The 12,428-nt window shown below is 39.1% G+C and overlaps 1 long non-coding RNA gene across 1 annotated transcript in view; it reads right to left on the bottom strand.

Moving 5' to 3' along the window:
• The window catches only part of SPANXA2-OT1 (SPANXA2 overlapping transcript 1), a 147,091-nt gene that overhangs the window by 128,806 nt on the left and 5,857 nt on the right, over positions 1 to 12,428 (bottom strand). Inside the window, exons 2-3 of the long non-coding RNA NR_037183.2 lie at positions 6,305 to 6,422; positions 615 to 662 (exon numbers count right to left, since the gene is read on the bottom strand). This is a non-coding gene — a long non-coding RNA (SPANXA2 overlapping transcript 1). The remainder of the gene's footprint in view (positions 1 to 614; positions 663 to 6,304; positions 6,423 to 12,428) is intronic.

Genomic DNA, 12,428 nt, shown 5'->3' with positions numbered 1-12,428 from the left:
TTCAGGCACTTACCTTAGGGAACTAATCAGACTTGCACATAAATATATTTTCACATAACGTTCATTGCAACATTGTTTATATTAGAAATAGATTGGTAGTAACCCACGGTCACACAACAGAGCAGTGATTAGATAAATCACTGGTGCACTCACATGCAGTTCTAACAGCCAGGAATGCCCTTTCTTGGACATGAATAAAAAATTGCTAGTTCCCATATAGGCACAGACAAAGGGCCATTGTATAACCTGATGCACAGACCCAGATGAATGAAAATGCTATGCTTGCGAATAAATGTGAAAGAACAACTATTTTAGGACCCGGAATTGTAACGCTAAGCCTTAGTAATGAACGGTACTTCTTGAGTCGCAAAAGTATTCACTTTTGGGCTAGTATATGATGCTTTGGAGCACTTATGTGACCCTTTAAGCAGAGGTCAAAATAAAAGCCTACAAACTCTTTTGCTCAGGACACCACGGATCTAACAAATTCCTGCCAATGGACAGAAAAGGGACATTCAGAAGCTACCCTACCTCAGATATGTCCTGTGCGTATCTGTTCTCTTACCTTTTTTAGCTTGACAAAACTTAGGAGGAGAAGTCATAGGTATCCATACCTTTCATTTTCAGCATTCCTCACATCTGGTCTGATCTTTGTCCAGCACCTAAGGCATAATTACACCAAAAATGATAAATCCATTAAGAGTAATGTTAGACAAATCTTGAATTCTTATAGCAAAAGTTTATTATGATATATCCAAAAAGCAATCACTAAATAGCATTACAGAATGAGACACCATTAAATTACAGCTATCCTTTGGACACATACATAGAAAAAATAACTAGAAAATGTATACCAGCTTGTTCACAGTTCTCCAGAACTGAGATTATAATTAGTTCACTTCTTTTTAGTCTTATGTATTTGCTACATTGAGAGCAATTAATATGTATTACTTTGGTAATCAGAAAAATTGATGTTATTTCACAAATTAAACAACAATGAATGCCATAAAATTAATGTGTAATAGTTCATATGGTAGTTCTTAATTAGCCCACTTTTTTCAACAATACGCTGGAAAATTCCCACTGAGTTTGATGGGAATCATAAAGCCCGTGGGCGAGGGGAAGAACGGATTCAATTTCTGTTTCTAATGCTAGCGTAATAGATAACTTCTAATTTTGGACTCTAAAACTAAGATACATTGAATTTATATCTAGGAATGTAATTCATATAAATGTTTACATACATAAAATTAAAACCCTAATTTTAAACATACAAATAATTAACAATAATTTAGGACAGCTCATTTAAAATCCTTAGGATTAAATCTCTGAATTTAAATAAAGAAAATATTATTTCCATGATTACATTGTTTTCCTGGGAAATACAACATAGTTCCTACAATGGGAAAAAACAGTGACCTGGATCTGCTAAACATCTCACTGTGAGTTGGACAAGTCAGATTTATCTCCAAATCCTGCATCTGAATACAACTATGCATTTATATCTTTATACATACATTATCTATTTATTTATGTTTCTACAGAGCAGTCTTCTAAAATACACCGCTATTTCAAAGTTTATTCACTGAGCAGGTTCTATTTTCTTCATGTATGACGTGAGACAGTTGGAATAAATGATCTCTGATGATTGCTTAAATGGGGCAATTGTCACCCTACAGACACAGCAGCTCTATGAAGGAATCTGTGTTGATATAAAGCCATCCAGGTTTTATACAGAGATTCACAGATCTAACTTAAGAACAAATTTGTCCCCATAAAGAAACCTTCTTTGCCAATCTGACCCAATGACCACACTGAAACGTCCCGGCAATGATAAAGCACACCCAGGCTTACCCATAGGAATGCCTCCTGCTCCACAGAAACTGAATTCCTTTAAAGAATTCCTATAATCTCCTGCCATTTGTAATCTCTCCAATATGTGAAAGGGTTTCTCAGTCACCATGCAATTAAAGGTCCTCCTACACATCCAGATGTACTCATGCACATCATCATTTCACATTTTGGTTTTATAGGTTAATTTATACAAAGGTCTCACTTGCAAGTAAAGGAATGCATTCTACTGGTTTTCAGAAGTATCTAAAGGCTGCAACTACTTACCGCTTTCCATAATGCTATCAAAATACACTAGGTTTATTTATTATTTCTGCAAAGCAAATCTAAAACTGAAATCCACAAAAATACGGCCAGTTCATTTAAATAGCATTAAAATTCCTCGTTGTATCTAGGTGAATACTATAATGGTTAATCCTATACTATCACTGTCACAGCAACACAATTAACATTTTTTTCATTTAAAATGTTTTGGAGAACAAAAGATGAATGCTTCCAAGTTAATTAATGCTCAAATAATTATTTTAAAAATTAAATCAGAATTTCTAACACTGCATCTCAGTCACATTATCATTTAGTGAATTCAACACGAGTTACAGCACCCCTATGACTATTCCATGAACTAATAAATGATCATCTACTTTAGTTTTTTTTTTTTTACCATGAAAGCTAAAATGTATATTTTTATCCCTTTTGCATGTGATTTTTCTTTTAGCTCATTCCCATAAATGAACTCTTTAATCCACCATTGTTTCACACATAATCTAATTTGGGTAATATAGTTCTCTATTTCTTTATCTTAGGATTCATACTACCACATTATTTCTTTAATTGTGTAACTGACTGTAATGCATTTATTACAAGAGTTAAATGTTACTATAATGATAGTTACTGCATTATTAGATGATTTCTAATAGTTAAGTAAAACATTTCTTGATTGCCAAACATTAATTTTATTAGGAATGTAAATTTTTCTAGTGTAATCATTTACTGATACAGCTTTAAAGGCACCAACATGTCTCTGGCAAATATTGGAACACATACGGTCATGGACTTTAGCTATTGGTAAAAGTCAAGTACCACAGAGTACTATAAAATAACCCTTTGAAGCCAAGTCCTTGATGCTGTTTCACGGACTCTATGAAATCACATCAGACTACAGTTAGATATCTTGCTCTGCTACGTAATTTTACGGGTTGATAAGTCTTGCGCCTCGTTCTTTGTGTGTAATTCCTCATGACCTGGCCAGCGACAAAGAAACCGTGTAATGCTAAGCCATTATCACTGGCTAGATAGATTAGATTCAGCCTTCAGTAGGCCAGATGCTGTTGCGATAGCCACCGTTACAGGGAAAATCTCTTTAAACCAAAAATCAAAGCTTCATCCAAACCCTACTTGTTTCAAATAATCTGGGTAAAATCAAATATAATATTTATCAAATGCTAGGAGTGTGGCAGACACAAAATATACTGCCCAGCTCCCACTTCAAGGAAGGACTTGCTGCCCATCTGCAGGAAGTGTGGTTCAGCACACAGCCTCTAGCTGTCAACTCCTGCAGGGTCTGCCTCAGCCGCAGAGTCACCTGGCTCAAGGTAACACCCACAGAAGCCTACATCTGGCATCTGAACAGGTGGCTTTATAGCCATAAAGCCTACACCATTCCAGGCCAATGCCCGGTATCACTGATGCACAACGCTTTCTCAAGAGCTGCCAGTAAGGCTGAATGAGGCTTTGTTGCGCCTGCATAGAAGTTCCACCTCTTTCTCTGCCCAATCCTGCTTCAGCCTCCTCCCTCTCACAGCTGTTGATCCTTAATAAATATTTGACACCCCATACACTCAACCTCAATGTCTGTTTTTGAGATCCCAACCTCCAGCAACATATCAGGTGGTATGTATTTGTATGTGTTTGTGCGTTGTAAATGTCAAATTCTGTTAATGGCATCAAGACAAACTAAACTTCCCTTCACTGCAAAGCAACTAAAAACCATGTATAACCTATTTTTAAAACTTTTCAAATGTATCATCCATCCAAAAAATGAGGAAAATCCTTAGAGGCCAAAAAATGAAGCTAAAATCTAAGTACTGCTCCACGTAGAGCACCTGATAGGAACTAACATGACTCCGCCAAGGAATTTATAACTGGCCAAGTCCCTATGTAAAGACGTCAGGAACAGGTAAATATACTGCGGTAGCCTCTGTAACTATTCACTAAATGTTCCAGTGTTGCTCCTTTAGTCTTCTTCCCTGTAGAAGGATACATCCCACTCCAAATGAAATCAGGAGAGCCCACGGGACTCACTTGGGCTAGTGAAATGTGGAAGTGATATGTGTCTTTTCCGGGCAGAAGGTTTAAGAGAGTGGTTCACTTTGTCTCCTTTCTCTCTGCCATGAAGACTGACAGTATTCCAGAAAGAAGATACTCCCTCAGCTTGTTTTCTGAAGTAAAGATGACATAGCATAGCAGCTGGGCGCGGTGGTTCACGCCTGTAATCCCAGCACTTTGGGTGGCTGAGGCGGGCGGATCACCTGAGGTCAGGAGTTCAAAACCAGCCTGACCAACTTGGTGAAACCCTGTCTGTATTAAAAATACAGAAATTAGCCAGGCATGGTGGTGGGCGTCTGTAATCCCAGCTACTTGGGAGGCTGAGGCAGGAGAATCACTTTAACTACAGCTACTTTAACCTCAGCTACTTGGGAGGCAGAGGTTGTAGTGACCCTAGATCGCACTACTGCACTCCAGCCTGGGCGACAGAACGAGACTTCGTCTCAAAAAAATGACATAGCACCGAGAAATAGCCAATCCACAGTAGACTTGTAGCATGAGTGAAAAGTAGATATTTATAATTACATGTATCCAAAATGTAGGATACATTTGTTACTCAAGCAAAACCTTGTGAATCTTAAATTTAATTTTATTCAGCATCTACTTAAATGTTATCTCATCTAGTCCTCAAATCAACCTTATTAGGCAAATAACTATTCTAGTTGGTGCTTTCATTTGCGAACAACAGACACCGAGTCTGGTAATATAAGCAGAAAAACAATTCGTTAGAGAGATAACACATTGTTCTTAGAGTCCATGAGAAGAGCAGAGAGTCAGGTGAAGAATATATGGCAATAGTCAAGGGAGGAAGAGCTCACCCAGAATCACCCCAGAGAAGCAGTTTTCTTAGGGTCCCACTGGAAGCACTGTCACTTCTCAATACTGTCACACTACTGGACTCTAGCCTCTGCCACAAACACTGCAAATAAGTGTTGACTTTCTCTACATCTTAGTATACCTCCTAAAGTGTCAGAGCTCCTGGCAGAAGCGTCCACATGGCTATGCTCGTCCCCTGGGTCTATGCCAACAACTTGAAGTTAAGAATATCTGCCCCTCATTCAGTTTCCAAGTAAAAGGTAAGGCCCTGACTCACATTTCTCTCTGGATTACCCCCAATGTTATTTAGATACTATGAAGACAAAAGTGATTGATATAGTATTTTCAGAAAAAAAAGTTGAGAAAATTGAACCTTGGAGAATTTAAGTCACCAATTCAAAATCACACACCAAGAATGACTTGTATCAGTCAGAATGCTTACAGCTGCAAGTAACCAAAATCCACAACTCAAGCAATGAGGCGTATGTTATCACACACAAAAGGTATTTCGAGTGAAGTGAAGGCTTCTGGGTGGACTGGATCAACTCTTTAATGATGTAATTAGTTCATGTAATTTCTTAGCCCTCCTGTCCACATTTTCAGCTTCGTATTAATAATGCTAGTACCCCTCATGGTTATATGATACCTGCAAGAGCCATCAAAGCTATGCACGTCTTTGTTCATTTTCTACCAGAGAAATTCTATCACCCTATTTATACCTTCTTTCTCGCTGAGCCAAATTACATCACATCTTCATCCCTAGACATTGCCACATACTGATTAGCTTAAGCTTGGCTTCCTGAAATAATTGCTGGCAAGAGGAAAGGCATTATTATGATTGATTAGTTTATCATTTATTCTGAAGCTGAAGATAAGGGCACCTTTTTTTCAATTACATGAGCTTCATGAAGGAAGGCAAATGCCTTAAGAAAATTACGGTTCTCTTAAGAAGAAAGAAGGGGGAAATGGATAATCTGTAGGCAAACAACAACCATGTTCTGCGTCCTTCTAATACATACATCTTTAAAAGTGTCCACACCTACATGAAATTCCTTCAAGTGTCCCTAAAGAGAGGCTCCCTAAAGTTTCTTCTGGGTAATGCACTCAACTCAAGTCCATAATCTCTAAGTGATGCATCAGTGATCCAAGACTAAATAGTATTATACTAACCCCAAACACATTCATGTACCCATGATGCAGGAAAAACAAGGCAACATTAATAAAAGTGATTATTTTAGACCATCCTGGCCAACATGGTGAAACCCCGTCTCTACTAGAAACACAAAAATTAGCTGTGCATGACGGCACCCACCTGTAGTTCCAGCTACTCGGGAGGCTGAGGCAGGAGAATCGCTTGAACCCGGGAGGCAGAGGATGCAGTGAGCCAAGATCGCGCCAATGCACTCCAGCCTGGTGACAAGAGTGAGACTCTGTCTCAATAAAAAAAAAAAAGTTATTATTTTTGGAAAACGACAGGAGGGAAAATAAAGTGATAATGCTTTACAATACAATATAATCTGTTAGACAGCAACACAGAGGATGTTCTGTCCTAGAAGTGAATTGAGTTTCCTGATCACCCAAGCTGGCTTCCCCTGGTTCTGTTCTGGGAAAGTATCCCTCATCAGTATTTCCCCAAAGTCAGAGGCAGGATAATCATTTTCCAGATTATTCCTCATAAGAGGCTTCACTGCTTTAGTAGTCTGCTTTGTATTGGTATAAGCATACAGACAAAGGGATCAAGGTTGTTGGCTAGGATTTTTGTTTCTTGGGCAGTAAAGCACACATAAATTAACAGCCTATTTACTTTTAATCCATTCTACTGGCGAGGAACTCCAGCCAGAGATCTTGTCAAACCATGGGCTTGGAATCTGACAATATCACGTTCCTTGCTAGAGCTTTCAAAGTGCTACATTCAGCTTCTGTTTAGCTATTAGACGACATTTATGAAGACAGGAAGAAGAGCTACCATACTCCAACATCCAAAATTTCCTCTACTAATACATTCTACATAGGAACATGATGATTCCCAGTGTAAAATGCCTAGTAGTTTAACAAAATGCTTTTTAATCGTACGAAGCAACATGTGCCAAATATTTACAATTCATTTCATTCATTTAATGATAACCTATTGAACACTTAGAGCCTAAAGTAGCTATTGGTACAGTAAGGCTACATAACACATAAGTATAATATCTCAGAGGTAGACAAAAATACTCATTTTTCTCATCCATGGGTCTTCAAAGTCAATGAGGGCAGAATAAATTCAGGCTGAAAACTGAATATAGGTGTGCTTCACTATGTGTCTCATTCCGGTATATAGGTTGAAGCAGTCGCAACTAGACAGGGCATCTTTTTTTTTTTCTCACAGCAATGGCAGTAGACGAGACAAGCCCAGCATTAAAGGTACTTCAAAGGTACATTTCAACTCTCTTCTCAGATCATGATAATCTCCTCTAGAAACACTTTCAAAGACATACCCAGAAGTAATGTTTAATTTGAGATCTCGGTACCAGGTGACCCAATCAACTTGACATATAAAATTAACCATTACATCATCCAACTATCATAAGGCCATGGCAGGGAAATGTATGTATAATACCAGTACTACAAGTGACTGAATAATTATGACAATTTAATCTACCACATCTGCTGCATCCCAAGAGTTGTTACAAACACTGAGGATAGAGCAGTGCTCAAAACAGGCAAAGCCACAACGCTGCTGGGTTTTAACTTGCAGTTGTGGAAACATGAAAACAATGAGCACAACCCCAGGTGTATTTATAAAATGTTACGCAATGTTAAAAATGTTCATAGTAGACCAGGTGCAATGGCTGACGCTTGTAATCCCAGCACTTTGGGAGGCCGAGGCGGGTGGAACACCTGAGGTCAGGAAGTCGAGACCAGCCTGAACGACATGGAGAAACCCCATCTCTACTTAAAATACAAAATTAGCCGGGCATGGTGGCGCATGCCTGTGATCCCAGCTACTCCGGAGGCTGAGGCAGGAGAATCACTTGAACCCGGGAGCCGCAGGTTGCAGTGAGCCGATATCGCACCACTGCCCTCCAGCCTGGGCAACAGGAGCGAAACTCCATCTCAAAAAAAAAAAAATGTTAATGGTAGAATCGATGGTGGGTAGACAGTGAAACGTTTGAAAAAGCGACGCAGGTTAAGGGGTTTATAAAGTGGATGTGTTTTTGACATTTTGGATGGGGTGGTCAGGGAAGCATCTATGAAGAGCTTACATTTGAGCAGAGATCTGACAGATGGGAGGGATGGATCCAAACTGAAATCTGGGAGGAAAGATTTCCAAGCAGTTGGTAGAGCAAGCTGAAAGGGCTTTAAGATGAAACATGACCTGCTGTGTTTTAGGACAGCAAGAAAGCCAGCACAGCTTAGAAGACTGGTGGGGGATGAGCCCAGAGCGTTAAGCAGTTGTGTGATCACACAGGGCCTTGCGGCAATAAAAAGAACTTTGAAGTTCATTTAAAATAGTATGGGTAATGTGACAATGTTTTAATATAAATAGATGTGAACATTTTAATTTATTAATAAGGGAACCAATAGGGAAGAAAGAAAAGAGAGTTCCAAGAGTATTTGACAAGCAAGAATTTATATAGTCAAGGCGAAAAAAAAATGCCTATGTAAGACTTCTAAGTTAGATATATGGTTGTATGCTTTTCTACAGGAAAAGAAAACCATAGCAGTTTGGGTATTAACTTTCCCAGCAGACTACACAATTCTAACACCTTATCAATTTCTTGGTTAACCTCTAACTTCACAGGGTTCCAAACTGACTTCACTGTTAATAGCTGTGGATGCTTATTAGCCAAATTTTGACAAGGCTGCCATCAGATGAGAATGTGTGTCAGAGGAATGTCAGATGAGAATCAATCAGGCTTCTTAGGACATATTATAACATGATATTAACATATCAGGTCATTCCTATTTTGTGATTTTTCCAAGTTTTGGATAAAGCCTTCTTTCACAAAGACACTGGTGGGAGTACGATATAGTTTGGATGTTTGTCCCCTCCAAATTTCACATTGAAATGTGACCCCCAGTGTTGGAGATGGGGCCTGGTGGGAGGTGTTTGGGTCATAAGAGTGGATCCCTCATGAATGGCTTGGTACCCTACCCATGGTTCTCATTCTATCAATTCACGTGAGAGCTAGCTGCTTAAAAAGAGCCCAGAACCTTCTCCTCTCTCTCTCTTGCTCCCTCTCTCACCACGTGGCATGCCTATTTCCACTTCACCTTCTGCCATGAATACAAGTTTCCTGATGCCTCATCAGAAGCTGAGGGTGCTGCTGTGATGCTTGTACAGTCTGCAGAATTGGGAGCCAAATAAACCTCTTTTATTTACCAATTACCCAGTCTCGGGTATTCCTTTTTAGCAACACAAAACAGACTAATACAGAACAGAATGTTGATATTATATGACTTCTTTTTAAAAATAATTTCTTTTGCTGTTATGTGGTGAAGAGATTCCAAGATGCAACCATCAAAGTAGAATCACCACTTAGGAGCGTCTTACAGGAATTCTGATGAGAAACGATGGCAACTTGGACTAAGACACTGTCGGTGCAGATGGAAAAAAGCATAGAGATCCATAAGAAATTTGGTTGTTGAGTTTGCAGGAATTGATGATATGTGCCTTTGTCAACATATCCCCTCTTCAGACCATAAACATTACTAGTAGTTTATAAGGCTCATCACTAGTGGGGAGAGAGGCAAGCTCCAAAATAACCCCTTTCCCTGATTTGTTTGCAACGTTACTGGTAATTTGTCTTTCCAAGTTCAATGTCAGTACTCCATTTTTCCTGTTACATAGCTAAAGTCTTCAGGGACAGCCAAAAGCAATGTCTTCTCTCCAGTAATGTCGAGAAACATGTCTTAATCGCATCACTCCAGCAATTCTCCCCTCTATCTAGCATTGCTCTTTTCCCACTCTTCTAGGTCAATATCATCAGATACAACTATGCTATTATTTCTATCATCTTAAGAAAAACTTGACTTGATCCCACTTCTTTGTTCAGCTTCACCCCCATTTCTGTCCTTCTCTGAAAAACAAAAGTCTTAGAAAGTATTGTCTATATTCTGTTTCTAATTCATTTTAAACCCAAATAAAGCTTGAGCTCCCACCATTCCAATAAAACTGCTCTTGTCAAAGTCACAAGTAAATAAATTGAATTGAAATAAAATGAATTAAAACCTACTCTTTCTATTCTGAGGCCTCACGTTATTAAAGTTAGCAACGGCATTTCAACAAGTTGGTCATATTCCCTTCTCTGATAGGCTTTCTTCATGTAGCTTCCAGAATACCACACACTTGGATTTCTTCCCAACACTCTTTCCACTGCTTCTTGGTTCCCTTTCAAGGTTCCTTGTTATTTCCGAGGCTTCTAAATGGCAGAGCGTTTCTGGCCCTTAAAGAGTCTCTCTACATTCATATATTTGATAGTCTCTTTGTATCCTGGCCAAAATACCATCTACATGCTGCTGTCTCCAAAATATTATGTTTCCAAACTAGATCCCTTCTCTGAACTTTATATGTATACCTTTATATTCTATATATAACAATATTCTTATATATAAATATTCTTATATATTCTTGGCTGGGCGCGGTGGCTCACGCCTGTAATCTCAGCACTTTGGGAGGCCGAGGCAGGTGATCATGAGGTCAGGAGATCGAGACCATCCTGGCTAACACGGTGAAACCCCGTCTCTACTAAAAATACAAAAAATTAGCTGGGCATGGTAGCACACTCCTATAATCCCAGCTACTCGAGAAGCTAAAGCAGGAGAATCGCTTGAACCCGGAAGGCGGAGGTTGCAGTGAGCCGAGATTGTGCCACTGCACTCCAGCCTTCCAGCCTGGGCAACAGAGGGAGACTCCATCTTAAAAAAAAAAAAAAAAAAAAAAAAGTGGTCAATAGACATGAACAGATATTTTTCAGAAGAAGACATACAAATGGCCAACAAACATGAAAAAAGGCTCACCACCACTAATCATCAGAGAAATGCAAATTAAAATAACAATGAGTTGCCATCTCACAACAGTCTGAATGGCTATTACTAAAAAGTCAAAAAACAACAGACCTTGGTGTGGATGTATAGAAAATGGAACACGTACTCTGTTGGCGAGAATGCAAATTTGTACAGCTTCTTTGGGAAACAGTATGGATATTTCTCAAAGAACTAATAATAGAACTACCATTCAATCTAGCAATCCCACTACTTGGTACCTACCCAAAGGAAAAGAAACAGTGATATCAAAAAGATTCCTGCACTCGAATGTTTATCGCAGCCCTATTTGCAACAGCAAAGTCATGGAATCAGCGAGTGCCCATCAATGGATGATTGGATAAAGCAAATGTGAGAGAGATATATATGTGCGTTATATGTATATATATCTATGTGTGTATATATGTGTGTGTGTGTGTGTGTGTGTGTGTGTGTGTGTGTGTGTGTGTGTGTGTGTGTATACGGAGCACTACTCAGCTATAAAAAAGAATGAGATGGCCAGGTGTGGTGGCTCACGCCTGTAATCCCAGCACTTGGGGAGGCTGAGGCAGGTGAATCACCTGAGGTTAGGAGTTCGAGACCAGCCTGGCCAACATAGTGAAACCCGTCTCTACTAAAAATACAAAACATTAGCTGGGTGTGGTGGCAGGTGCCTGTAATCCCAGCTACTCGGGAGGCTGAGGCAAGATAAATCGCTTGAACACGGGAGACAGAGGTTGCAGTGAGCCGAGATCGCACCACTGCACTGCAGCCTGGGCAACAAGAGCGAAACTCTTGAAAGAAAGAAAGAAAAGAAAATGAAATCATGTCTCTTGCAGCAACATGAATGAAACTGAAAATTTATTATCTTAAGTGAAATAACTCAGAAACAAATAAAATATTGCATGTTCTCACTTATAAGTGGGAGCTAAATAATGTGTACACATAGATATGGAGGGTGGAATAATAGATATTGGAAACTTGGAAATGTAGGAGGCTTTGAGGGAGATGAGAAACTACGTAATGGGTACAATGTACACTATTAGGGTGATGGTTACATTAAAAGCCCAGACCTCACCACTATACAATATAGTAAGATAACAATACCACATTAGTACCCCCTAAATATGTACAAATTTTTAAAAGGCCTAGTTAACATCTCAACTAAAATATCTAATAGTAATAATAACAATAGTAACAACCGATGCTTGTGTGGTGCCATTAATGACTGAGTCTTCCTGTTCTCTCAAAATTAATATGTTGAGATCCTAACCCCTGATGTGATGGTATTAAAAGAGACTTTTCAGATGTAATTAGGTCATGAAGACACACTCATCAATGAGATTTATGCCTTTACATAAAGATGCAAAACAGTTGCTTTTTCTCTCTCTGCTCTCTGCCATTTGCATATTCAGTGAGAAGTTGACAGT

This window comes from Homo sapiens, chromosome X, assembly GCF_000001405.40.
Source record: "Homo sapiens chromosome X, GRCh38.p14 Primary Assembly".
Lineage (NCBI taxonomy): Eukaryota > Metazoa > Chordata > Mammalia > Primates > Hominidae > Homo > Homo sapiens.
This window is presented reverse-complemented; position numbering and strand designations above follow the sequence as displayed.